This window comes from Homo sapiens, chromosome 9 (assembly GCF_000001405.40).
Source record: "Homo sapiens chromosome 9, GRCh38.p14 Primary Assembly".
Classification (NCBI taxonomy): Eukaryota; Metazoa; Chordata; class Mammalia; order Primates; family Hominidae; genus Homo; species Homo sapiens.
Window position 1 is genome coordinate 134,399,587 of NC_000009.12, and position 25,580 is coordinate 134,425,166.

Here is a 25,580-nt window from a genome sequence, read left to right on the forward strand (position 1 = left end):
GTCCTCCTCCCAGGAGTTGAATGACCAATAGGGCTGGTTTGCAGTACCTGTCTTAGCCAGTAGGTGCCACCAACATCTGGTTCTGGAATTCCTTAAGTCTGCATTTTTAGTTCAATGAAATGGCTTATTCCCAATATTGTGAATGATGAAGGTTTCCAGTGGGTCAGACAAGGCTCATTTGCTGGTGGGGTCTGTACCCCGACTGCGATGGGGCACTAGTGGCAGCCAGGCCCCTGCAGTGCTGGCTGAATCTGAGCAGTGCTGGCTGAATCAGGGCAGTGCTGGCTTCCAGGCCTCCTTTCTGCACCTTCCTCCCTGGGAGAGGAAGCAAGAGGGGGTGTGTGGAGCAGGCCTGAGGCTGCTGGACAAGAATGGGCAAATGCTCCTGAGCAGAGGTGGGCACAGGGTGGCAGAACCTCTGTGTTCCTGCTGCCTCTGAGCTGGCCTTGGCCAGGTGCTGGGGGCAGCAGAGCTGTGTGAGGTAAGAAGAGTGCTGGCTTTGGATGGGGTCAGGAGTGGCCCGAGTTTCCACGCTGCCGAGTGGTGGTGGCATCCTAAAGCTCATGCCATGTCTTCCTGAGATGCAGGGTGCACAGGAGGCAGATGCCCATGAGAGGCCTGGCCCAGGGCTTCCTCCCGCTCTAGCCTGGCACCCAGCGAGTGAGCCAGTGCCCTGGACACAGCTGCTCTGAGGCTTGGGGAGGTGAAGTCTTCCTGGGGCTGGGGAGGGGTGGAGCCAGGGGTGTCCCCTGACCTGGGGCATGTGGGCTCAGTCATAGCCACTCTATGTGTTCATGGTCCTGCTCGACTCCCCAGAAGTGCCTGTGATTGCCACAGGTCAAGGCACGGAGGGCCTGAGAGCCATTCTGCAGATGGGAAGGCTGAGGCCCAGAGAGGGAGAGTGGCTTGCCCCGTGTGCCCAGCCCGTCGGAGATAGGGTGGGGGCAGGCAGGCAGTGCCTCCAGCTCCCGGCACTTGCTGCCGTCTGTGCTGCCTTGGGTGGGCTCCGACATTTCCCAGTGGTCTGCTCAGGCCCATGGGCAGTGGATTCGCCACCTGGGAGCCTCCCTTCTGCAGTGCCAGCCTCCAGGGTGCGGGGCAGGGGGGCACCTCCTGAAGTGTGGTTGGGGCTTTGAAATCTCTGATTTCAAAGGCGGGAGTGTGGGAGGTCCCAGCCTCTCCTGCGGCCCTATGGGCTGCCCTCTTGTTCCTGGCACACACCAAGGCCTTGCACAAAGCCACCCAGCAGCGTCCAGCCCACCGCCCACGTGAGAGGTGCCCCATTCCACCCATCTGGTCCCCTCAAACAGACCTCAGAGCATGGAGCTAGGGGCCTGAGCGTCCGGTGCCCGGGCGACCACTGCTGTGGCACCTGAGCAGGTCCAGGCAGTGTGGCCTGCTGGTTAGGGCCACAGACATGGGAGTGGGTCAGCAGGCGCCGCCAGTCCTGGCTTGGCCACAGGTGGCTCTGAGTACTCAGGGCCTGGCTTCCCGCATCTGTAAAATGGGAGAATCATGGTGCTCACTGCTGACCTCCCAAATCCACGAATTTACCCACGCTCAGAACTGACCAGGTCCTGGTACACGGCAGGTGCTCGGCGACATCAGCCTTTCTGCCTTTCATGATTATTCCCAGACCTTCACCTTGAGTCCCTGTGGAGATGGGCAGAGGGGCTGACTAGTCCCGGCCACCAGCCACTCCTCCCACTGCTTTCCCAGGTGGACGGGCCTGGAGTGCTGAGGGTTGGAGCGACCCAGGCGGGCATCCTGGGGCTCATTCACAGCGGGTTCTTCCTGCGTCTGCCGCAGGCCCAGCCTAAAGCCGGGGTCAGGCGCAGAACAGTACCTTGGAGGGGAGCTCTGGGCACACCTGGCCCGTAGTGAGTGTGAATTTGCGTCAGAGAGCTGTCGAGACCCACGGGGCCACCTTGAGGGTGCCGGGGTCTTCCCGCAGGTGCGTGCATCTGTAGCTGGGGGGAGCAGGCATTTGGTGGGGCCTGGAGTCACCTGCACTGACCACTCTCCTGCGGCTTCTTGTCTTGCAGATTTCTCCACCCAGGTGAACTCCTCCCTCACCTCCCCGACGGGGCGAGGCTCCATGGCTGCCCCCTCGCTGCACCCGTCCCTGGGGCCTGGCATCGGCTCCCCGGGACAGCTGCATTCTCCCATCAGCACCCTGAGCTCCCCCATCAACGGCATGGGCCCGCCTTTCTCGGTCATCAGCTCCCCCATGGGCCCCCACTCCATGTCGGTGCCCACCACACCCACCCTGGGCTTCAGCACTGGCAGCCCCCAGGTGAGTGCGGGGCTGGGGCAAGGGGAGGGGGTGGGGCCTGGGGTGGGGCTGTGGCTTCAACTGCAGGACGACCGCCTCATCTTGAGGCCTCTGGGAGGTAGGTGCTGTGGTCTCCCCGCTTGACGCAGAGTATACAGAGCCTCGGGGAGCAGAGTGCCGTGGGGGTTTGAGCCCAGGTGGGGCTGACTGCTGAGCCTGGGCCTTTGGATCATCAGCCGAGGTGACTTGCAGCTGGTTATCTGCCCACGTGGCCCCTTCCCATGCCGGAGGGCTCGGGACTCCCTGTTCCCATGACTGGGGGACTCAGCAGAGAGAGGCTGTGGCCTCCCTCAGGCCTAAGCCTGCTTCCCCAAAAGCTTGTGCCCACACAGCCTGGGTCCTCCCCTGAAGTCTCTGCTTACACCCAGGCCAAAGGGCCCCCAGGGAAGGCGTGTTCGGGCTCAGGGCAGCTGCGTCCCCTCTCAGGGATGCCGGCCCTGGGACCTGCAGTGGCCAGGTGTGGCAGCGGTGCTCTGTGGTCTCGGCTCCCCCACGGCTCTGTGGGCGCCTGGCCGTCTGTGGGGCGTGGGGACCTTTTCCACAGTTGAGGTTTGCTCAGTCGCTTCTCCAGCTCAGCCTGGCCCTTTGGGCTGTTTCTGGATCAGGAAGGGCTGGTGCCTGGCAGAGCCTGGCGCAGTCCAGGTCTTGTCATGGAGAACTTGGGGACCTGGTCCGTGCTCCCCTTCTTCCTTGGAGAAGACACCCCGAGTAGTGTCTCTTGTGGAGTTGTTCCCAGCCCTGGGGTGTCCGGTCTGTGAGGGTGGAGGGCGAGGCTGGGCCTCGTCCCCTGGCTCCCGGTGGTTGCTTGTGGATTTCCACCTGGCCGGCCGGAACCTCCCAGACTCCCACTAGGCCCTCCCTCTCCAGGGGCTCCTCACATGAGCAGGGGTGCTCCTTCCGCTCTGAATTTCTGTGTTTGGGTTTCACCCTGTGTTCCTAGTAGCTGAAGGCTCCATGGCAGAGTTTTGGTGCCATCTCAGGACAGCCCACCCGGGTGGGACTCGCCCTAGGAGCTCCTCTGCCCACACACAGCTGACAGCACCAGATGTGTCCTGTGGACTCCCAAACCCCCTGCTGCCCTGCCTCAGTTTACCTAGGGCAGGCACTAGGCCCAAGGGATTGCATGTGAGGGGGCCAGGAGGCAGCAGGTGGACACCTAGTCCCAAGCCCCCATGCCATCTCCCGGGTAGTCCAGGACTGCTCCTGACCTAGGACTGGGCTGTAGTTGGGGTCTGGAGCCGGCCTGCTGCCCATCCACCTGGCCCTGTTTAGAGCTGGCCTTGACCTCCCGAGCTCCTTTTCCCTGGAGAATCTTGCTGGCTTTCTGGGCCAACCCCATCAAAGCCCCTCTGCTTTGGGGGATGTGTGCAGAAGAACTGGGGCCTCTGCTCCGTGTCCCCCTCATATCACCTGGCCTTCCGAAAGCAGGCAGCAGGCCCAAGGTGCTGGCACGAGGGAGGCCTGGTCATGTTATTTTTAGCACACCAGCCCTGCCCCTGCTCTTGTTGGCAGCATGGTGCCCTGTGGCGAGAGGGCGATGAAGACTCGGCTTCCGCCTGTCCCTTGGCTGACTGGCTGGCACCTGCTGGGTCCCAGGGCCCCAGGATGCCCCTTGCTGGGTCCTCCCAGGTCTGCCGCCTGTCCTGGACACCCAGGGGTCTAGTGCACAGTAGGTTACCCCCTGCGGGTGGCAGTGGTGCTCCCAGAATCCTCAGGGATGCCTGGTGTCCTCCGCACTGTTGAGCTCTTCTCGGGGAGGGGATGGGCAGCACTAGGGGAGGAGGCTTTTCAGGGCTGCTTCTGGGCCATTCTCTGTTGCTTCCTGTGCAGCCAGGCTCCTGGCACAAAGTAGGGACTTGTTGAAGCCAAGTTGCTTGGGAGTGAGTGGTGCAGGTCCCCTTGACATTGGCGAGGTCCCCGGGGTGGGTGTGGGTGAGGAGCAGACGCGGGTTGCCCCAGACGTTCCCTGCCCGGCCGCTGTTGGCGTCGGTCTGCCGTTGGGCTGTGGGTCTCACCCGCAGTTAGTTTGCCGTGGTCTGAGGCCCATGCTTGACTTGGCCCTGGTTCCCCAGAACCCATAGCTCCTTCCCTGGGGGTTGAGTCCAGCTTTGAGGCCTCAGCAGTTTGTCTTGGAACCCTGGGGTTCCTCACATTCATGGGAGTGTGAGCAGGGTTTCAGGAGGGATGTGCCCCCACTCCTAGCCCCAAAACCACAACCGCAAAGTCAGAGTCGCTGGAGCCAGAGAGATTCTCTGACTTCTGCTGCTGTTGGGGAGGGCCAGGCACTCTGCCAAATGCTGCCTTCTGCCTTCTCAAGTCCATGGCCAGGAAGGGCCTTCCATGTGGCGGCGTCCAGGCCACTCGCCCCTCCTGGTGGGGGAATAGGAGTCTGGGGGGGCTTGGGTAGACCCAGGCCAGACCGCAGCTGCCTGGCCCCTGAGCTGTCCCAAATCTCTTCCCTGGTCTGCAGGCTGTACTCCCAGAGCAGGCCCGGGGGACATTCCCCACAGTGTCCCAGAGCCTTCCTGGCTGCAGCCGGCTCACCTGGGCGCGTTGCAGGTATTGGTGGAGTGAGTTGGTGCCAGCTTCCACACAGCACTTCTGAGTGCCCGGCATGGAGCTGGACTTGGTGTCAAGGCCTCTGAGCTCTAGCAAAGCCTCCTGGTGGGAGGGCCTGCCCAGGGCCTGTGGGGCTGTGATGTGTGCACAGGGAGTGTGGACGCGAGGCTGAGCGGGCTTCACGGGGTCGGAAGCAGGGCAGCACAGGCGCCTACCCGCCAGGGACTGAGGTCGGAGGGGAGTGTGCAGAGGAGCTGGTTTGCTCCTGCCTCGATGGACAGATGAGGTCCAGCAAGGTCCAGGGGCCTGCTCCTGGCGCAGAGTGGGCCTTTCCCAAGTCGGGGCTGGTGGAGAGACCCTTCAGGGGCTCAGGAAGGAAGGGTGTGGTGGGTGTGAGGAGAGAGCCAAGAGACGGGCAGGAGACCTGGGTGGGGCATCGAGGCGGCGGGAACTGAAATAAGTGCCAAGGATCTGAAAGGGGAAATGCGATGGCCCCCACCCTGGCCACGCGTGGAGTCCTGAGGCTCCAGCGAAGCAACAATGGCAGCCTGGCTCTCCTGGGAGCGGGAGCAGGGAGTGTGGGAGGAGACCCTGGATAGCTGGGGGGCTGTGGAGCCCACTGGGGGAGGGACAGACCAAGGCAGACCCCCGGGGCGGCCCTGTGCTGTGCTCCGGGGGCTGTGAGCCAACCCGAGGCCCAGCAGCCTGGGGCTGGAAGGGCGGAAGAACGCCCGCCTGGCCTCCCCATCCTGGCACAGCCTTGCTTCTGTAGCCTGGACCGTCCTCCAGGTGAGCCCAAAGAAGCAAGGTGGGTGGCCCCAGGGCCTGCAGCCTGGATGGGCACCTCAGCCCGGGCTCCACTCTTCTCAGATGTGCAGAGGCTCACCGGGCCCTGGGCTCACTGGGCTAGCCAGACCCTCTGATATCACTGAGGTCTGGGGGAGCCAGGGATGCAGGCTAAGTTCAGCGCGGGAGCTGGCTTGGCCCTGACACTGAGAGGGAGGGGGACCGTCTGCCATTCTGTCCTGCCTGGAGTCCCTTTCCCGGCCAGGGCTGCTCTGGTGCTCCCTCAGTTTACCCAGGGCAGGTGCTAGGCCCAAGGGACTGCACATGGAGGGCCGGGAGGCAGCAGGTGGATCCCTACCCACCCGAGGTGGTTTGGGACAGCCTAGAAAGAGGAAGTGCGTGAGTTCCTTTCCTTTGTGCTTCCGAGCAACCTGGACCTGCAGAGTCATGGCCTGTGCTCCTCCAGCCTCTGGCCCAAGGGGCTCCTGCTCACACGCCTCGGTGCCTCCCCAGTGCTAGGGCACAAAGCGAGGGTGCCCGACACTTCCTGCTTGTGGATGCCTTTGCTGCCCCTGCTCTGACCTGATCCCCGCCCTGGCTGTACCTACTTCTTTCCTTTTTTCAAACAAGCCCTTTGCTTCCCCACCTCTGAACACTGGCTTGGGGGCCCCTGTGCCTGGGACACCCCTTTCTTCCTCCCAGGCCCTGGCCCATCTCCTCCAGGAAGCTTGAGTGCTCACTGCAGCCACCGGCCTCCCTGTAAGACAGTGAGTTGTCTGCGAGCTCTGCTCTGAGCCCTGGCACATGGAGCGACTCAGTTACACTTAATCAGCTCTTAGAGGCACTGGCTGGGCATGGTGGCTCAACGCCTGTAATCCCAGCACTTTGGGAGGCCGAGGCGGGAGGATTGCTTGAGCCTAGGAGTTGGAGACAAGCCTGGGCAACATAGTTGAGACCCCACCACTAGAAAAAAAAAAAATAGCTGAGTGCAGTGGCATGGACTTGTAATCCCAGCTACTCAGGAGGCTGAAGCAGGAGGATCAATTGGGCCTGGAAGTTTGAGGCTGCAGTGACTGTGATTGTGCCACTGTCCTCCAGCCTGGGCAACAGAGTGAGACCCTGTTTCGGAAAAAAAAAAAAAAAAAAAAGAGAAAAGAAGTAGGCACTAACATGGTTCCAGTTTTGCCGACGAGGAAACTCAGGCTCACAGTGATTAAATCATTTTCCGAATGTCACACGAGAACGTAGGAGGCAGGCAGAATCCGGAGCCAGGGATCCGCCTCTGGGGCCTCCAGTGCCTCCAAGCGAGACAGCCACTAGACCAGCGAGCCCTGGAGGGCTGGGCAGGGCCTTGTCCCCTGGTGCCTCCCGGAGCCCAGCACGGGGCAGGGCCAGCTGGGCACTTAGTTTGGACGAGCTCTGTCCCTCCAGGGGCTTCACTTTCGCCTTCTGCAGCGTGGGGGATCATGTGTGACCTTGGCCAGCCCCTGACCTCCCTGAGCCGCAGCCTCTGCATCTGGGACACCCAGGGTTTCCCATGCAGGGAGTGTCAAGTGTGGGTGCAAAGCCCAGGCACCGCACCCCTCTGCAGACGTCTGGGGCTTTCTCTTGCCCCTTCAGTTCCCTCCCTTCTCTGAGAAGCGCACCTGCTGCCTGTGGACATGAACACTGGGCATTTGGTGAGTCACACAGTGGCCACCCGCTTCTCCAGTGGGAGCTTCATGGCACCCCCACTGTGCTGAGTTGTCACGGGGGACCTCCTGGCCTCTCGCAGCCCACCTGAGTCCTGCAGGGACCAAGCATCCTTGTAAAGCCTCACAGCCCACCTGGGCAGATCGAGGAAGAACCTAGAAGCCAGAACAAGCTGGGGCTGGAAGACTCATTCCAGGCACCGAGGTCCATGTGAAAGGAGGCTTTGCGGTGGTTTCTGCTTTGCTTGCATTGAGCCTCAAACTCTTCCTGTCCCGTGAGAAGGGGGGATGGGATTTGGAGGCCTGAGGAAGGAAGGAGGGGAGCTTCCTGCGCACAAGCGGCGGCAGGGGTTTGCAGAAGTGGAGGCTGGGGGCTGCCTGGCCAAGCGCTTACCGCCCTGCGCAGCCAGGCTGGCTGGCAGGCTGCAGCGGGAAGCGCCTGTGGGTCCTCGGCGCTGACTGCAGAGCTGGGTGGAGGCAGCGGAACCAAAACTGCTGTGTCACTGCACGCTGCAGCTGTTGCCAGGGTGACCGGGTGAGTTTCCCACGCTTGCCCGGGCGGCAGCGTGCGGGCCGGCGGGTGGGGCGGAGGGGTGTGCAGAGAGGCCAGTGGTGTCGTGCCACCCGATGCCCGGGGGTGTCCACTCCCCTCTCCTGGGTCACGTGACCAGGGCCCCTGCCCTGCGGTGTTGTGGGGTGTATGTGTGGTTCTTGGGGGGGTCCCCAGCCCTCCTCCGTCCTGGGAACTGGGCTTCGGCGTCCTCATGTGTGGGTTGGGACCCCCCAGAGTGCCTGCCTCATGGAGTGTCCGGGGGCACCCAGCGGGGCTGGGCACTGCCAGGGGCTCAGTAATGAGAGGCAGCTCTCATTTAGGTGGGCAGCGGGCAGGGGGTTGCAAGCAGGGACCGCCCATGTGTTGGGGGGGGTGTTGAAGGTCCTTTTCCACAGAGGCCTGGGGTCTGCTGCGGGCGAGTCCTGAGGTTGCCACAGCCTCTGCTGGCCTTGCTGAGCAAGCACAGTGGCCCCGCTGCTCCGGAGCAGCGTGGCGGGTGGGGGGCACGGCCCTCTCTAGCCTCGGTGTCTGTGTGTGAAGTTGGGGGTACAGCTGCGCCATCCTTGCTGCAGGGCCGTGGGGGACATAGGGACAAACCTGGTGTACACCCCGCTGACTGCTGTGGTTGCCCCCCCCAGCTCAGCTCACCTATGAACCCCGTCAGCAGCAGCGAGGACATCAAGCCCCCCCTGGGCCTCAATGGCGTCCTCAAGGTCCCCGCCCACCCCTCAGGAAACATGGCTTCCTTCACCAAGCACATCTGCGCCATCTGCGGGGACCGCTCCTCAGGTACCGCTGCTGTGGGGGCCAGGGGCTGGTGGGACAGGGTTGTCAGGCCATTGCAGGGTCTGGAGGCCTCCCCAAATCACCCTCCTGTGGGCCAAGCAGGACCCAAGGCCAGGGTGCAGGGAGGCAGGTGCCTGGGCCATGCCCCACTCCCAGGGCTCCGCGAGGCCATTCCAGGGTTCTCACGTCTGTGGGACAGTGAGTGTTGGGTGGGGTGGGGCACAGGGCAGCCTGAGGCTTCCGGAGAGGAGGTGGCTGCTGATGGCAAGGTCAGCATGGGGGCAGCCAGTGCTGCGCCTCCTCCCTTGGCTGGGTCTGGGCAAGGGGCCCGTGTTGTGCCACTGACCCCCAACGGCCTGAGAGGGAAGAACGGGCTGCACAGTGCAGACACAGAGCAGGTGACTTGCCTGGGGCCCTGGTCCCTGGTGGGCTGGGATTTGTCCCTGCCCCACTCCTAAGCTGTCCTCGGAGGAGCAGAGAGAGTGAGGCTGGGGCCCAGTCTGAGCCCAGGCAGGGGTCTGGAGACCAGCAGGTCCCTTTCTGAGGCCTGGCCCGCCAGCTGGTAGTGGCGGCGTTGGATGGGGGGTGGGCTCCCTGCCGGGGCGGTGGGTGCTCCCCAGCCCTGCTCTGCCCTGTCCCGCAGGCAAGCACTATGGAGTGTACAGCTGCGAGGGGTGCAAGGGCTTCTTCAAGCGGACGGTGCGCAAGGACCTGACCTACACCTGCCGCGACAACAAGGACTGCCTGATTGACAAGCGGCAGCGGAACCGGTGCCAGTACTGCCGCTACCAGAAGTGCCTGGCCATGGGCATGAAGCGGGAAGGTAGGCCACGGCGTCGGGTGGGGGCGCGGGCAGGTGTTGGACAAACAGTGGGGCCCGGGCTTGTGCGTGGACACCCGAGATGGACAACAGGGAGTGAGTGGCCTGGACAGAAGCATGGCAAGGCCAAGGCAGGAGTGGGGGCGGGGCCCAGCGCGTGGGCACACGTGCGGCCCAGAGCGTGGGCACACATGGGTCCTGGGCGGCATGTTCTGGCTGGCGTTGGCTGTCCGGTGAGGGGATGGTCAAGGAGACCCTCAGGTGGCACTGCTTAGGTTGGAGAGGTGGAGCGGGGGCATCTTCTGAGCTGTTGGATGCCAGGGGTGGTCCCGGGCCAGCTTCCTCCCGAGGCCAACTCTGTGGCACCCCGCAGGGCCGCCGGATGGCCCCCAGGCTCTTGGAGCAGTTCCTCCTTTCCTTTTGTTTTTGTGCTCGTCTTATTAACAAATCTGTGTCGGGGCGGTTTGCAGGGAAGTCCCTCCCCCGATGTCACCAAAATTGTCAAGTCATCCAGCCAGACCTGGGTCGGAGTCCCGGGCCCCACAGGCACTGTGACTTCCCAGTCCTGGCTGGCTGTAGTCCTCAGTTTCCCCATCTGTCACATCCCCTTTCCCTCTCAGGTTTGGCGATTCCTGGCCTCTTAGTGGGTCCCTGGGTCATGGTTTGCACACACGTTTGGGGGTGTGCCTCAGTTCCTCCCATCGGGTCCCGTGCCCTGGGCCTTGTGGAGGTGGGAGGTGCTGTCTGGGGTGAAGATCTGTTGGTCTGTCCCTGTCCCCCCGCTCTGCAGGACACCCTTCCTCTGTCCTCTGCTGTGCTGCTCCTGAGGCCCAACACCTGTGTGGCTGGTGTGTCTTACTTCCTCCCCGCCAGCCCCTGGTGGGGTCCCCAAACAGGACCCACACCACTGTCTCACCGTCAGGGATGTCCTGAGTGGCCACCTTGGTGCTGCAGTTTCATTTCATCATCTCTCTTGTGTATGTCTTCTCAGCCTTAACGGTCCTGTTGAGAAATCAGAGCCTCTGCCAGGCGCCGTGCTCCTGGAGGGTGTCCTCCTTGGGCTGCGAGGCTGAGTGTGGTGTATGGGCTGGTGTGAGGTCCTTGTGCCTGCATAGCAGAGCTGCCTTCCAGAGCTGGTGTGGCCATGCCCAGTGCTGCCAGTCAGGCCTTTCTGATGGGGATTCGTGTTTCATGGAGTGCTGACGTTTGCTCAGGCCCACCCTGTGCTGTGCAGGTTGGGAAACCGAGGGCAGACGGTTCAAGCCTTGCGCAGGGTCACATGCTGGGCCCTGGCCCCCATCCAGACCTTGTTGCTTTCACCAGAGGGCAGAGGAGCATGTGCCCAGCCTGGAGAGGTGTGTGCCCAGCCTGGAGAGGTGTGTACCCAGCCTGGAGAGGTGTGGACCCAGTCTGGTTCTTCCGGGTGCCTGGTGTGGGCAGGGAGGCTTGCTGTGGTGGCAGGTGCAGCCTTGTCCCTGGAAGATGGAAACTGGGACAGGGGCAGGCATAGTAGGCAGTGGCCGGGGCCCCTGTGCCCAGGCGTGGAGACTGGCCTGTTCTGGGGTGGAGGCCCGAGGCGTGGCTGGAGCTGGGGGGGGAAGGCCTCGTGTGCAGCCTTAGCCTGGCAGTCTCTGTGAGGATGCCACAGCACAGAGAGCTTGGTTTAGCCGAGACCACTCTCAGATCCTGGGGGCTTCAGGGAGACCCCTGCGAGCTTGGGGGCAGATGAGAGCGCTGTGCATGGCTGATGCCTGGCCTGGGCCTGCAGCAGTAAGCTCGCTGTCCTTTGAAAGTGATCATCAGATAACCAGGGGGGGCCCAGGGGGCAGCCAGTGCAGGCTTAGGGGAAGCTCAGGCACTGTGGGAGCCCAGAGGAGGCACCTGACCCTGCCTCGGGCACCCGGTGAGACGCAGGCAGGCAGGAGGGCTGTTGACGCCTGAGGAATGAAAAGGTGTCGGCACCACAGGCCTGGCTGCAGGGAGCAGTGTCCGTGAAGTCTGAGGCTGTCATCACACCTGGCCCTCGGAAGTCGGTGATGGCCTTTCTGAGCCCCGTCCCGGACCCTCCAGGCTGCACTGACTCCTTCCTAAGGCCCTGCAGCCCAGTCATCCATGTGCCTGGGATCATCAGACTCCAGCTGCCTGGGCCCCCCAAAGCCTGGGGACGACACCCCATCCCATCCCAGTGGAACCGTGCAGTGTTGGGGCTGGGGGGACCTGGAATCACCTGGTCAGACCGCTCCCCTGGTGCCCATCGGTGACTGGGTCCTGTTAGGAGCAGCTCATGTGGGGGACCACCCTGGACACCCCCTTCCTGATCCCCACACATGGTCTCACTCGCCCCATACCTGTGAGACAGAGAAATGGGGTATAGAGAGGTGAGCCGTGGGGAGGTCTAAGGGCCAGCACCAGGCGTGGCCCCCATTTCTTGCCGGTCCTTCCTGCTTCCAGTCCTTCCTCTTGGCAGCGCATAAGCCCTGGAGACCAGACTTAGGGCCGTGAGAGAAACTGCTGCTGCTGTCAAGGGACCTCCTCCCCTTTGCCTCCAGCAGGATTCTGAGGCGTGAACTTGCAGTCAGAATGCTGCCGAGCGCTCTCGCCCCAAACACAGCTGCAGAACTCAGCCTCGGTGTGGAGGGCACCTCTGCGTGGGCGGTGAGGAGGCAGTGAGGCCCCCGTGCCAAACGTGCCCTGCTGCCAGTGCCTCTCCTTGTGCACAGGGGGAGTCTCTTGCCTCCCCCAGCCTGGCTGTGTGGGCTGCACAGCCAGGCCTGTGGAGCTCCTTACTCTTGGGCAGTAACGGGGCCCCTGGTGCAGCCCAGGCACTCGCCCTGCAGGGACCCCACGTGGAAACGGTGGCTGGGAGGGCTTGGCAGGCACCCTCCTCCCCGGCCTGCGTCTGGGTGCTGGGCAAGACCCCTTGGCTCCAGATGGGTCCTGAAGTGCAGAGCACTCCCCTCTCTCCTCTTGGGCAAACCACTGCAAGGCAGGCTCCCCGACAGCGGAGGGCAGGGCTGTTGGCTGCATGGGTGAGGCATTGCAGCAGCCCTGGAGAAAGCTATGGGGCCAAGTTGGCCAACACTAGGTGCCTGTGGCCCAGAGCATGCAGGATGGGAGCTGTCGGCTCTGGGGACTGAGCCCTCCTAAGTGTCAGGCCCCCTGGTGGGCAGCTCCGCCCACTGGCCTTGGTGTCAAGTGGTCCCTCGGCCCGGTTTGTGATCAGACCCCTAGAAACAGGCTGGAGCTGAGGCGTCGCATCCCAGTGCAGTGCTGCGAGGGAGTCGCCTGGGGTTGGTCCCAGGGCTGGCTGAAGGCAGGATGGCCCAGGTGCCCCCATGCGGTGACTCTGCCCCCGGCAAAGGCCCACTCTGGCTCTGGGGCAGATGGGTTCCCACCCCTATGCGGTAGGATACCACAGGCTGATAGCATCTCAGGTTGGGCAATGGGGCCTGCACGCGCAGGCAGCCACCAGGAGGGACTCGTTCCGCAGCATTCCCGGGACCAGGGGTGGGCAGAGGTGGGGGGACGTGCAGTGGTGGGTGTTGGCCCTCTGCCAAGCTGAGCCTGGGCCTGTTTGCTGAAGCCGGGGAGGGGGCAGGGGTTGGGGGTCCCGCAGGGACACGTGCTCTGATGGGGAAGACAGGCCTCACCCTTGGGGGTTCCCAGTCCGATGGAAAAGACCTAGCTTCCACCCAGGGTCGTCGGGGGAGACATTGGTCTAGAGGGGGCAGTGGCTGTCCCCCATTCTGCTTCCTCCTCCTCCCTCAGGAAGGCTGCTTCCCATTTCCTTCCTGCCTGCCTTTGCTTCCTGTGCCCACCCTCCAGCTCTGAAGGACTGGGTGTGGAAACAGCAGGGTCTGGCGTGTGTGCACCTATGTGTGCACGTGTGTGCATGTGCGTGCACTGCAGGGATGTGGCTGACCCACAGGTCTCTGCTGTGGGAAGGGAGCCCCGGCTGGGCTCGAGTGTGGCCCTCTTGCCTTCTGGCCTGTGAACTGGGCAAGTGACCTTGCCTCGCCCAGTCCTCAGGTTCCTCATCTGTGATGGGCTGGGGGCATCAGGAAGACCCCTGCGAGCTTGGGGGTGGATGAGAGTGCTGTGCGTGGCTGGTGGTGGGGTTGGAGAGCAGTGGTCACGTGTGGGTGTGGGTGTGGTATGTCTGTGTGGTGTATGGGTGTGCGTGTGGTGTGTGTGTGATATGTCTGTGGTGTGGTATGTGTGGTGTGGTATGTCTCTGTGTGTCTGTGTGTGTATGTCTGCATGGTTTGTGTGCACGTGTGTGTGCATGGTTCTCGTGTTCTGATGCCTTGCTCTAGGTTGAAGCCCTGGAGGGAAGGTAAGTCACTCCCTTTAGAGACTCTAGCTTGCTGTGTGGCCTCTGGCGCTGCTCTCTGGGTCTCTGTCTCCCCACCCTTAAGAGGAGGCCAGAATGGTTTGGTGGAGTTCGGTCCTGCCTGTCTTGGGCCCAGCCCTGGGCTGCACAAGGGACGGAGGAAGGACTCAGCCATTGCCACTACCCAAGCCAGAGGAGCCAGTGGGCCTGGGGATGCCCCTCGGCTCCGACATGCCTGCCTCGGAGCTGTCTGCCCTTCCCCAGACCCCCTCCCTCCTGCTTGACCCTGAGGGGCTGTGGCAGGTCGGAGATGTCCTTTGCTTCTGAGGGGCTGCTGCACCCTGAGTCCTAGGCCAGCTTGTCTCTGGGGGCCTGGGACCCCAGTGATGCTGGGGAGGGTCCGCCTGGGCAGGAGTCTCAGGTCTTCCTGGGAGGACTGGGCTGCGGTGTGTGAGTCTCCTCTGCCTCTGAGCAGCCTCCCCCGTGCCTCCACTCTGCCTCCTCCAGCCGCCACGCTCTGGTCTGGAGGGTAAAGAGGCTCTGTGTTTACAGACACCTCCCGCCCGGCCTCCGGCGCCAGCGGAACATGAGTCAAGCATGACTTCGTCTAGAAGGTGATTGTGCTGGCAAAGCATAAATCCCGGCCCCTCCTGCCCCCCAGCCTATAAATAAAGCGATCATATTTATAATGATGCTGGGCAGAGCTGCCAGGCCCTTCACAGCTTCAAAGTGCTTCACAAAACACTCGCTAATTAATTCTCGGCTGCCCTGGCGGAGGAGGCAGGTGCCAAGGAGCCCAGCTCCAGGCACCTGGGGAGAACTGGCAGCAAGGCCCCTCGCTCAGGGCCACCCTTGTCTGGGGCTCCCCATGCCCTGGGGCTACCTCTGAGCAGGAGAAAATCCCTGGCACCGGGCCGGGCTGGCGCGTGGGGTGGGAGGCTCCGGTGACAGCTCTGAGCACCTCCAGGCCCCCCGTGTGCTGGCGCTTCCTCTTGGAGCCATCCTGGGGGTGGGCGCTGTCATTTTCATCTTACGGATGAGGGAGCCGAGGCACAGAGAGGTCAGGGGACTTGGCCGGGGCCACACGGCTGCTTGGGCTGTGGCAGGCTAGCAGGCTCTGTGGGGCTGGGGTTGTCGGATCCCAGGGCCTGCAGCTTTAGGCTGCTCACTGTCTTGAGCGCTCAGCCCTGCCCCTTTGGCTCTCAGAGCCTCAGCTTCCCCACTGGGAAGACAGCAGTGCCAGCTATGTCTTGGCACTGAGACTTTAGAATTCTGCCCTTGCTGCCCATCCTTAGGGTCTCAGGGACCTGGGCCAGTGGAGGTGCCGTACCCCTCAGCTCAGATGCTGGCTGAGATCTGCGTGTGCGGGGGCTTCCTGCCCCGGGGGCTGCTCAGCGTGGGTGGGGTCGGCTCTATAGGCTCAGGACCCTGTATGGAGGGTCGTGTCAGTAGTGACCCCGCCCCGGATGAGCACCGCCCTCTGGAGGGCTCATGGAAGTCCCATGTGGGGGCTGACCGGAGCCTTCTGCAGCCTCTGCCAGACCCTTGCCATTTGCCCACCAGCCCTGCTCCCCATCCTGCCCCCACCCACCATCAGGTTTCCAGTAGGGCCAGGCCTGTGCATGCCGACTGCGGGGTCCCTGGCTGGCTCCTCTGCCTGGTTGGTGTATCCTGAAGCTGGGGATGGGCCTCCCCGCCTGAGTCTCCCTGTGTGGGCGGAAGTCCCTCGCTCAAGCCAGTGGGCCATGCAGGAAACTGTTGGCACAGGGTGGCTGAGAGGCATCCACGTGGGGCTGTTACAGAGCTGTGGCGGCATGAAGGGAATCAGGGCAGGACTGGGGACCCTGGGCCCGGGGGTGTGAAGGGAGGGGCTTGCAGAGCCCCGAGACGGCTGCTCAGTGGGAGCTGTAGCTTCAGGAGAAAGTGGCGGCTGACACCGTGGCGGGTAGGGGCAGGGAGGGTGCCACAGGCACAGATATGTTCTCCCACCGTTTGCCAAACCCATCTGGAAGCCAGAGGGTGGGAGGGTGGGATGGGACATGGTCAGTCCATGGGTGGCTGGTGCCTGTGAGTACCCCAGGTGTTCTGCCCACCATCGAGACATCCTAGAGGGGCTGGGATGAGCCCCGCCACAGGCCCAGAGAGGTGGCAGCTTCAGGAACCCCTCTGCCAGGCCATACCCTTGGGCCCTTAGGAGGGCACCATCCTAGGCCTCAGACCAGGAGGAGAAGGGGCCTGGGTCAGGGACTACCCAGCCCAGCACACTGGCAGGAGGGCACAAGGGAGGGAGGAACTGGCCCCAGGTCCATGTCTGAGCTCGGAGGAGATACGGTGGGAAGGGCATTTCCAGGGCGAGAGTGGAGAGGCCTTGACTGGAGTAGGGGCGTGGAGCTGTGCTGGACAGAGGTGGCCGCAGGACCCCATGGTCGCTGTTGCTTTTCTGGCTCTGCGGTTTACTCACTTAGACCAGTCATTTTCTCTCTCAGCCATAGTTTTCTCACCGGTACAATGGGGTAATGTGAGTGCCCGCCCTGTGGGGCGGTGTTGGGGTTGTTGGGTGGTGGATGGAACAGAAGGAGGTGGTGGGGTTGGGGACCAGAGCCCCAGCTCAGGACTTTCAGGGAAGGGGACGTGTCTCGGGGGAACCGCCCATAAGCCAAGTGGACTCTTCTATCCAAATTCCATCTGGGTCCTAGCCTGTCCCCCGGCACTTGGGATCCCCAGATAGGCTGACAGAGGGGCTGAGGTGGCTTCCTCAGTGTTCAAAGTGGACAGTCGAGGAAGGCAAATCCAGGTGGAGGTAAGCTGGGGGCGGGAGGAGCCTCATGCGCCTGGGCAGCCAGGGCTCATGCCTCAGGCCCCTTTGCTGAGCGCCCACCCCCAGGGCTGATGAGAGTCAGCTGACCGGAGCCCATGCCTGGTGCAGATCCTGCTGCCTGCAAGCATCGCTCTATTTTGTCATAATGCTCGGCTTCTGGTTCCCCCCGAGTGGCTGCTTCCTGGGACAGATTGAAAGGCATCTCGGTGCCCTGCATGGGGCATGGTCGGTGGAGCTGGGTGGGCCGTCTCTGTGTGGCCAGGGTGGGGCCGGGCGCCTGCCCTCCATTTCTGGCAGGGCCCAGTGTCCTTGGGAGGGGCGTGGGGTCTGCAGGTGCACGGTTTCCTGATTGCCCAGGTGTCTCTGAGCCTGTCCCTCCCCCGCCCCCCGCCGCAGGTTCCCCTTGCCCAGGCCCTCAGCCAGCACGGGTGCCCCTGTGCTGCCTCATGAGCGTGCTCTGCTCTGCTTCTGGGCCTTTGCAGGGATCGTGTCTCCAGCCTGAGCCATGATTCCTCTGCAACCTCCTCTTCCAGTCACATTGACACCTCTTCCAGGAAGGCTTCCTGGTTCTCCCTGAGTCCATAGACCGTCAGGACCTTTCTCGCCCCATGTTGGGGTCCCTGCTGCACTGTCTCCTTCCAGGCCCCAGGCAGGCTCCTGGTGTGAACATTGATTGGAATTAATGAGAGTTGGCCTCTGTTCTCAGAGCACACAACCACACGGAGGCCAGGCCTGGGGCAGAGATGGGGTCTCCATCACCCAGTGCTGGTGGGGATGCTGGTGTTGTGGGTGAGTTGGCTGGGAGCTGGCACCACCCGGCCAGGACAGCCTTCCCTGGGAGCCACTGGCCGGGCTGAGCGTGGGGCTCACCTGCGCCTCCCGGGTTGTAGCCGTGCAGGAGGAGCGGCAGCGTGGCAAGGACCGGAACGAGAATGAGGTGGAGTCGACCAGCAGCGCCAACGAGGACATGCCGGTGGAGAGGATCCTGGAGGCTGAGCTGGCCGTGGAGCCCAAGACCGAGACCTACGTGGAGGCAAACATGGGGCTGAACCCCAGCTCGGTGAGTTGCAGCCTGTGCAGGGGTGGGCAGCCTCACATGCCTCAGTTTCCCTCACTCACTCACCCTCCCACCTGAGCAGCTGATGAGCCAGAGAGGTCCTGGGGGCTGCCCTGGGCCCTGTGGCTGCCTCAGCTCGGCCTCTTACCTGAGGTGACCCCGTGGGCCCCTCGCCCCAGCTGGGCGGCACTCTCCTCTCCTGGCCCATGCACGAGTAGCCCATGGGGCAGGGGCCAGGGGCCAGGGGCCCGGGGCCTGGGGCCCTGCGGCCACATCATCATCCTCGGCCACCTCTGCTGGGGCCTCAGCCGCCGTGTCCCCTCGGAGTTTGGCCTGTCTCGGTGCAGAGGCTGTCCCTGCTCCCCGGTGCCACTTGGAAAAGGTATGGGAGGAGGCCGAGCCCCCAGCAAGAGGCTCTGCAGGTTGGTTCCAGGGCTGGCTCTGCCAGCAGCCGTGTGGCCCTGGGCAGGTGCCCGGCAGTCGCGGTGGCTGCTGTTGATACAGGAAGCAGCTCTGCAGCCCCCCAGCTGGTCACCCCCATGCTGACCCTCCTGCCCCCTCCCACCCCAACAGCCTCAAGGGGAGGAGGATTGGGTGGGCCGCAGCCCTGGTCCCGGGCTCTTCTCCTGGGCTGGCTCCAGCTGGTCCTGGAGGTGTTGGATTCAAGACCCCCTGGCCTCGCCCTCCTCTCCTTGGACCCTCCCTGTTACTGGCTCGCTCCCTGTGGCATCTTTGCTTCTGGCTGTGGCCTTGCCAGGGAGGGCAGCACAGGGGCGTTCTGAGCCCCTCCTACCCTACCCTAAGGCCTAGGAACCTGTGCTGCTCGGGAACCATTGCTCCCTGGTGAGCTTGTCTGGCTGGGAGACCCCACCTGTCCCAGGCCCCACTGAGGGGGTGGCTCCAGCTGTGCCCGGGGTTGGGCAGGTGAGCTCCTGGCCACCCGTGTGAAGGTTCAGGACTGTGCAGTAAGCTTCCTGCTGCTGGGGACCTGGGTCCAGCTGGCCCTCAGGGCCCATGTGTCTTTTGCCATGGTCACCATGGTGTCCAGTCTTCATCTGTGTCTCCGTGTGGGTTTGGGGCTGGGACCAGAGCCCTGTGGCCACCGAAGACCTTATACAGGCCGACCATGAGGTTGCCCCAACCTCTGTCCCTCTGTGGGCCCAGGCACACCAGCCTGCCCTCCGTGCTGGGTGCGCCCTGCAGGTCACTGTCTCCCCACCCCCCAGGGCCTTCGTGCTTGCAGCTCACGTGGCCTGGAACTGGGCCCTCTGGCTCTTCCCCAGGCTTTGGTCTCAGCTGAGGTACCTCCGGCCTTCATCTGTGCCCCTGCCAGGGTGGGGACTGCCCCTGTGATGTGGGCTGAGAGCACCTGATCTTTTCTCTGTGGCCCCTGGCACTGGCCACCACAGGGTGAGGTGTGTTCACAGGGTAAGGTGTGTGGTGGGTTAATTTCTGCCCCCACGAGGCTGCTGGTGATGGCTGTGCTGCTCCTCACCACCAGCTTCGGTCAAGGACAGCGACCCCACCCTGCTCGTTGGCACTCACACAAGGCCGGCATCCCCACTGCCTCTGCCTGTCTGAGGGTGGGGGTCTGCTCTTGTCTGAGGCCCCGTGGCTGGGTCAGGGCCACCCTGCTTCCCTGCCCTTTCTGGATAGGACAACCTGGTGCCCCCACGTCCCCGGCTCTGCTCAGACCTCTACTCTGGCTGGGGGCTGGGGCTGCCCAGCTTGGGGGAAGATGAATGGGACCCCGACAGCAGGCACCGTTCTTTCCGGAGAAACCCTCCCCTTGAGTGACAGGCACAGACCCACCCCCAGCCCTGGCTGGTCTGCACGCATGCCCTGCCCTGCTCCCGCCTCACCAGCCTCGCGGAGGGCAGGGGAGGGAGGGTGGCTGTGAGGGTTTCATGATCCAGCAGAAAATCCAAAAGCAAGTTTGGCAGATGCACAAAGGGCTGCCAAGTTTTTATTTCGTGAAGGACATTATTTGGGGGGGAATCTGCCATCTGCTGTCTCCGCCACTGCCTGAAAGTTCAGGGAGTTTAGAACCACAGAGGCAGGCAGGGCTCGCTGGGGATAAAGGACACGTCTTCCACGGGGAGGGGGTCTCTCTGTGCCCGCTCACTCCCTGCTCTGTCTCATCTCACACTGAACGCTCCTCTGTGGACTGGCCTGGGTCCAACTTCCAGAACCGCTCACTGGGCCCCTTCTCTCAGATGGGCAAACTGAGGTCCAGAGAGGGGGCGACCTGCCCAGCGTCACGGTCCTGGTGCCTGGTTTCTCCCCAGCGCGGGGCAGGGCCTGGGCGGGTCCTGTGGACACTTCTAGGCAGGAGTAGAGCCCATCACACGCCTACTGTTACATGAGGCACGTTGGATCTCCAGGCGAGAATGGGAGGCTCACAGAGGTTAATCCTTTCCCCAGGCCACACAGGGAGGTGGAGCCAGGATCCTGCACTATCCCTCCCTACCTAGGGGACCCCCTCCAGGCCTAGCCCTGCTGGTACTGGAGCGAGAGCCTCACACCTGCCGGGAGTGTGCCTCCTCCTCCGCTCCGGCCTCCTGGCTCTCCAGCCTGCCACATTCTGCTCCCTGTGGCCGGCTGTGCACACTGCAGGCACATGACAGATGGTGACCCGTGTGCCCACTCCTGCAGAGGTCCCAGCCAGCCCAGGAGGGCTTGAGGCTCTCCTTCCTACCCATGGCACCAGCCTGTCACCTGGGCCTGCTCTGGGCCCCGTCTTGGCTTCCGAGAGTGGCCGGCTAGTGGCTGGGAAGTTCCTGGGTACAAGGATCCCCAGCAGAGCCACTGCTGCAGACACGGTGCTCGGGGCTGGTTCCCATATCCCCCCGCCCCTGCCAGGCCTGCTTCATCCTTTCTCAGGGATACCCTGCAGCCGATGGGCAGGCGAGAAGGATGGGCCCCTTTCAGCCCCCAGCGTGACAGAAGGAGAGGCTGAGGCTAAGAAGCCAGCCTGGCTGTGGCAGGCCTGGGGGGCGCTGTGCACAGATCCGGGAGCCCTGTGAGTGCTGGGGGCTGTGGCTGCTGCTGATGGAAGGTTTGTGGAGGAATGAGTGAGTCTGTGTAGACTGTGGTCAACCCCACTCAGCCGAGGGATCCCACCCCTGTGTATACCCCTTCTGGCTCGGGCCCCCAAGGGCTGCCCTGCCCTCTTCCGAGGGTCCTGGCGAGTCTCTGTGCCATTCCTCGGGGGCCTTCTCACTCCGCCCTCAGAGGCCTTTCCCGCCGGGCGCTGCGTTTAGGCTGCACGTCTCTGATGAGCAGATGGTTGCTGTTGGTGGAAGCTCTTCAAAGGGAGGCATTTTTCTCCTTGGCAGATGCCCTGAAGTGAGGGATCCCCGAATCCTATTCACAGTCGTTATTCCTGCAGCGGCACCACTGAGGGGGCCGTCATCTGAGTTCCCATTGCTCAGGACACAGAAGGTCCGTGACCCAAGCCCCACCTGCCAGGAGCTGAGGAGGGGCCTCCCCTCCTGCCCTGTTCAAGGCTGCCTGGGTCCCCTCATCTGTGAGACTGAATGGCCCCCTTCCGGCTAGGACTTTCCAAAGGAGCCGTGAATGCTGCTCTCTCTGTGCCTGGGGCCTGGTATCTCAGCCGAGGCTCCTGCCCTCCTGAGCTCCCACATCCATGCCTGATGGAACGTGAGAGGCCAGCCCTGTCCCCAGCGTGGGCCACCTTGGCCATCAGAGATGAAGGTGGTTGGTCCCACCCTGCTCCAGTGCTGCCCATATCCAGTTTCGTCAGCTCGCCGCACCTGCCTTCCAGAGCTGTGGGAGAGACTCGTGCGTCCTGCTGTAACCCAGTGGCTGGAAACAACACACATTTTATTATATGACTGTTCTGTGGCCAGAGAGCCAAAAGCAGTCTTGCCGGGCTGACATCAAGGTGCCTGCCGGCTGGCTCCTGGAGGCTCTGCTGGGGAGTCTGCCCTGGCCTCTGCTTCTGGCACATTCCTTGGCTTGTGGCCTCTTCCTCCACCTTCAAACCCAGCAGTGTCTCTCTCCCCTTGGGCCCCAGCGTCTGTGATCTCATCTCTTCCTCTGACCCTCCTGCCTCCCTCTCATAGACCCCTTGCAATGACCCTGGGTCCCCCCAGTGGTGCAGGCTTACCTCCCAATATCAGGCCACACCTAATCACCTCTGCCAAGCCCCATGTGCCATGCAAGGTCGCATAGTCCCAGGTTCTGGGGATTGGGGCCTGGGCATCTTTGGGGGCCGTATTCAGCGTCCTGCATGGGCCCAGCGTGTGGCAGGGCCTGGTCTGGGCTGTGTTTGGTCAGTACACTGGCTTCTGGGACTGAATGTCCTGCTCTTCTTCCTCCACTGCAGCCGAACGACCCTGTCACCAACATTTGCCAAGCAGCCGACAAACAGCTTTTCACCCTGGTGGAGTGGGCCAAGCGGATCCCACACTTCTCAGAGCTGCCCCTGGACGACCAGGTCATCCTGCTGCGGGCAGGTGAGTGGCGAGGCCTAGGTGGGGATGGGGATGCCATGCAGATGGGACACGTACCAGGACACTCCCCCCTCCCGGGATACTCCGCACTCCCGGGACACTCCCCTGTCCTGGGACACTCCCCCCTCCCAGGACCCACTCCTACCTCCCGGGACACTCCCCTCTCCTGGGACACACTCCTACCTCCCGGGACACTCCCCCTTCCCGGAACACACTCCCCCCTCCCTGGATGCTCCCATCTCCCAGGACGCTCCCCTCTCCCAGGACGCTCCCCTCTCCCAGGACACTCCCGACTCCTGGGACACACTTCTACCTCCCGGGACACTCCCCACTCCTGGGACACACTTCCCCCTCCTGGGACACACTTCCCCCTCCTGGGACACACTTCCCCCTCCAGGGACACACTTCCCCCTCCTGGGACATACTCCCCACTCCTGGGATGCTCCCATCTCCCAGGACGCTCCCCGCTCCCAGGACACACTCCTACTTCCTGGGACGCTCCCCTTTCCCGGGACACTCCCCACTCCTGGGACACTACCCCCTCCCGGGACACACTCCCCGCTACCGGGACACTCCCCCCTCCCGGGACACTCCCCCGTCCCGTGACATTCCACTCTCCCTGGACGCTCCCCTCTCCCTAGACACTCCCTACTCCCGGGACACACTCCCTGCTACCGGGACACTCCCCCCTCCCAGGACACTCCCCTCTCCCGGGACACTCCCCCCTTCCGGGACACTCCCCCCTCCTGGGACAGTCCCCACTCCCGGGACACTCCCCTCTCCCGGGACACTCCCCGCTCCCAGGACGCTCCCCACTCCCGGGACACTCCCCTCTCCCCGGACACTCCCCACTCCCCGGACACTCCCCACTCCCGGGACACTCCCCCGTCCTGGGACCTCCTATGTACTCTATGGGACTGTTGGGGGAAGGGCCTGGGGCCTCAGTTTCCCTCCATCCCTCATAAGGAGGTGTACCATGCGGGGTCTCTCAGTGGCCTTCAGAGAGGTAATGGGCTGTCGGTGGAGGTTTGGGGGCTCTGGAGAGGGAGGCTGGCTGTGTTCCAGGGGCTGCCCAGGAGAGCCACGTGCTCTCTGCCCTTCTCCTCCCACTCCAAGGCCGCAGCTCTCTTTCCATGCGGTAATGGTGGTGCACAGAGCCACTGCACAGAAATGCCTGCTCCACGCGCATCACACTCCCCGTGATGCCATGCGGCGGCCAGGACGGTGGCTGGGAGCTCAGCTTTGGGGTTTTGGGGTCAGGTTGGCAGTGGAAGCCTGGATGGGGCAGGCCCCCCGCAAAGCTGGTCCCCCACCTGGAAAGGGGGTGTGAGGGGCGTGCTGACTGGGGCTGGTTCTTGCCGAGTCAGCCGGGGTAGCTGTGAGGCCAGGCTGTTAGTGGAGTTTCCTGCTGGTGAAGCAACACGTTGGGTGCCCAGGTCTGCCCTCACTGCCCGACGATGGTGCTGGTCACTGTCCCATGTCCCCCTGGGCCCAAGAAGCCAAGCTCCCTTAGGGCCGGGTGTCCCAGCTGCCTAGAGGCCCGCTACCGCACTGTGGGCTCCGCCGCCTCAGCCCGACTGGGGAGCCTCAGCCCATACAAGGCGGCTCCTAAGTGGCAAGTGGAGAAGACACAGCCAGAGACGGGCTCCCTGTGAAGCAGGGAATGTTCTGGAAGTTGCTTGGGTCAGGGCTGTGACCACACAGGCTGTGTGTATAGGGCCTGGCGCCGTCGCCACCCTCCTGGAAGGACTCTTCTGGCCATACTGGGCCCCGCCGGAGGAGCCAGGATAATCTCCCATCTCAAAGTCCTTGACTTAATCCCGCTGGCCTCGTGTCTGGTGGGTCCTTGCCCCTCTGGGCCTGAGGCATGTGGCTGTCTGCCGTTGCGGGCTCAGACTTCTTTCAGGGTATGGTGAGTATTCCGCCTGCCAAGGGAACCCTGCCCTTGTTTGCAGGGGCTCCCCCAGAACCCTCGGTTCAGAGCCCCTGGCTTTGCCAGCTGCAGGCCTGCCTGACCCCAGTGGTCCTTGGAGAGATAGCCAAGGCTTTTGCTGAGAGAGGGCGGTGCTCCCACCCCACCCCAACCCACCAGACCGATCCAGAGAACAGCTGGCCGCACGCAGCTCTTTTCCTGGGGATCCCAGATGGTTGTGCGCTGGGGGCCTGGCGGAGGTCCGAGTCGGGTTGGATGGCTGTGTCCGTCGCCATGTTTGTGTGGTGCCTGGCCCTGTGGTCCCATGTTCTGGCAGCTTCTGGCTCCAGCCTCAGCCTGTGTGGGGTGTTCGTGGTGGAGTGCGGTGCTGAGGGCCTGCGTGGGGTGGTCGTGGTGGAGTGCAGTGCTGAGGTTAGAGGGTTTCTGTGGCTGTCCCTCTTAGGTGGGCACCTGCCTGTGGTCTCCCTGCAGCTGTCAGGTGGGGGCTCCCCGCAAGGCCCTTCCCTTAGCCCAGAGCCCTGGTGCCATGAGTCCCCAGGCCCTTCTAGGATGCCTGGAAAGCCATCCCGTGGCATCTCTGCGAGGGTGGCCTCTGCTCCTGCCCAGCGGCTCTTTCCGGGAGATCTCTGCGGCTGCATGTCTCTGAGTGGGACTCCCAGCCTGACCTCCCCCTGGGCGCCCACTGAGGTCCTTGCTGACCTGTCTCCAGTGGGCCCTGCTCATGCATGCTTCTGGCTTCGAGGGCCGCATGGTGAGGTCTGAAGCTGCATTTCCGGCATGAGTCCCAGCCCCACTACCCACGAGCAGCTGACCTTGGCTGAGTCACTTACTCTCTGTGCCTCAGTGTCCTTGTGTGTTCTGTCTGCCGGGGCCAGCAGCTCACCCATCAGGTGGTCTCCCCAAGCCCCAGTAAGGTCCACTGAAGCACACGTCCAATTCAGATGTGGAACACTGGAGTTTGAAGCCTGCACTGGCCAGGTGGCTGGAGAGGACCTGGGTTAACTCCAAGGATACACTGTGCCTGGCTGGTGTTGGCTGAAGGACTCTGTCCCCCTCCAGGGGGCTCAGGTCAGGATCCATGGCTGTAGCCTGACTGGGGACCAGGGGTGATCCTGCTGGGTTTTCTTCTGGCAGGAGGCAGTGGCAGAGGTGAGGCCCCGCCCAGCTCCGGCAGGTGCCAGGGCCACTGAGTGCTCCCCCATTATGTCCCTGTGCTAGGCCCTCCCACTGTGTTCCCAGTGCTGGTGGGGGAGGTCACTTCCGCTGGGCGACAGCAACGATGGGAATGGGTGCCCAGACCTGCAATTCCCACCATCGTGAGAGCCATTGGCCATGCAGGTTCAAGGCCCAAGGTCTCTGCTCACTCCGGGGAGTGTCCACCTGTGGCTCGCGGTGACACTGAGTGGGGGTGCAGTGGCCACAGCCCTGCAG

General features: G+C 63.3%; 1 protein-coding gene across 3 annotated transcripts in view, besides 8 other annotated features; it reads left to right on the forward strand.

The window, feature by feature from the left end:
- Positions 1–25,580, forward strand: part of RXRA (retinoid X receptor alpha) — a 114,131-nt gene that overhangs the window by 73,132 nt on the left and 15,419 nt on the right. For 2 of the 3 annotated variants that reach the window (NM_002957.6, NM_001291920.2), the window contains exons 2-6: positions 2,046–2,296; positions 8,563–8,713; positions 9,354–9,533; positions 17,572–17,741; positions 22,090–22,219. In NM_002957.6, coding sequence (NP_002948.1) covers positions 2,046–2,296; positions 8,563–8,713; positions 9,354–9,533; positions 17,572–17,741; positions 22,090–22,219 — 882 coding nt within the window. Of the gene's footprint in view, positions 1–2,045; positions 2,297–6,973; positions 7,907–8,562; positions 8,714–9,353; positions 9,534–17,571; positions 17,742–22,089; positions 22,220–25,580 lie in introns of those variants that run through there. The other variant, NM_001291921.2, reaches the window with a different exon arrangement.
- Positions 1,443–1,944: an enhancer, noted in NCBI's record as "H3K4me1 hESC enhancer chr9:137292875-137293376 (GRCh37/hg19 assembly coordinates)". NCBI's record gives its function as "activates a minimal SCP1, AML or CMV promoter by ChIP-STARR-seq in primed H9 embryonic stem cells {active_cell/tissue: H9 hESC(primed)}" and the evidence as "EXISTENCE:reporter gene assay evidence [ECO:0000049][PMID:30033119]".
- Positions 1,945–2,444: an enhancer, noted in NCBI's record as "H3K4me1 hESC enhancer chr9:137293377-137293876 (GRCh37/hg19 assembly coordinates)". NCBI's record gives its function as "activates a minimal SCP1, AML or CMV promoter by ChIP-STARR-seq in primed H9 embryonic stem cells {active_cell/tissue: H9 hESC(primed)}" and the evidence as "EXISTENCE:reporter gene assay evidence [ECO:0000049][PMID:30033119]".
- Positions 7,199–7,668: an enhancer, noted in NCBI's record as "active region_29284". NCBI's record gives its function as "activates an Ori minimal core promoter by ATAC-STARR-seq in GM12878 lymphoblastoid cells {active_cell/tissue: GM12878}" and the evidence as "EXISTENCE:reporter gene assay evidence [ECO:0000049][PMID:35858748]".
- Positions 7,199–8,282: a biological region, named in NCBI's record as "H3K27ac-H3K4me1 hESC enhancer GRCh37_chr9:137298902-137299714".
- Positions 7,470–8,282: an enhancer, noted in NCBI's record as "H3K27ac-H3K4me1 hESC enhancer chr9:137298902-137299714 (GRCh37/hg19 assembly coordinates)". NCBI's record gives its function as "activates a minimal SCP1, AML or CMV promoter by ChIP-STARR-seq in naive and primed H9 embryonic stem cells {active_cell/tissue: H9 hESC(naive and primed)}" and the evidence as "EXISTENCE:reporter gene assay evidence [ECO:0000049][PMID:30033119]".
- Positions 8,283–9,095: an enhancer, noted in NCBI's record as "H3K27ac-H3K4me1 hESC enhancer chr9:137299715-137300527 (GRCh37/hg19 assembly coordinates)". NCBI's record gives its function as "activates a minimal SCP1, AML or CMV promoter by ChIP-STARR-seq in naive H9 embryonic stem cells {active_cell/tissue: H9 hESC(naive)}" and the evidence as "EXISTENCE:reporter gene assay evidence [ECO:0000049][PMID:30033119]".
- Positions 9,096–9,907: an enhancer, noted in NCBI's record as "H3K27ac-H3K4me1 hESC enhancer chr9:137300528-137301339 (GRCh37/hg19 assembly coordinates)". NCBI's record gives its function as "activates a minimal SCP1, AML or CMV promoter by ChIP-STARR-seq in naive and primed H9 embryonic stem cells {active_cell/tissue: H9 hESC(naive and primed)}" and the evidence as "EXISTENCE:reporter gene assay evidence [ECO:0000049][PMID:30033119]".
- Positions 21,477–21,977: an enhancer, noted in NCBI's record as "H3K4me1 hESC enhancer chr9:137312909-137313409 (GRCh37/hg19 assembly coordinates)". NCBI's record gives its function as "activates a minimal SCP1, AML or CMV promoter by ChIP-STARR-seq in primed H9 embryonic stem cells {active_cell/tissue: H9 hESC(primed)}" and the evidence as "EXISTENCE:reporter gene assay evidence [ECO:0000049][PMID:30033119]".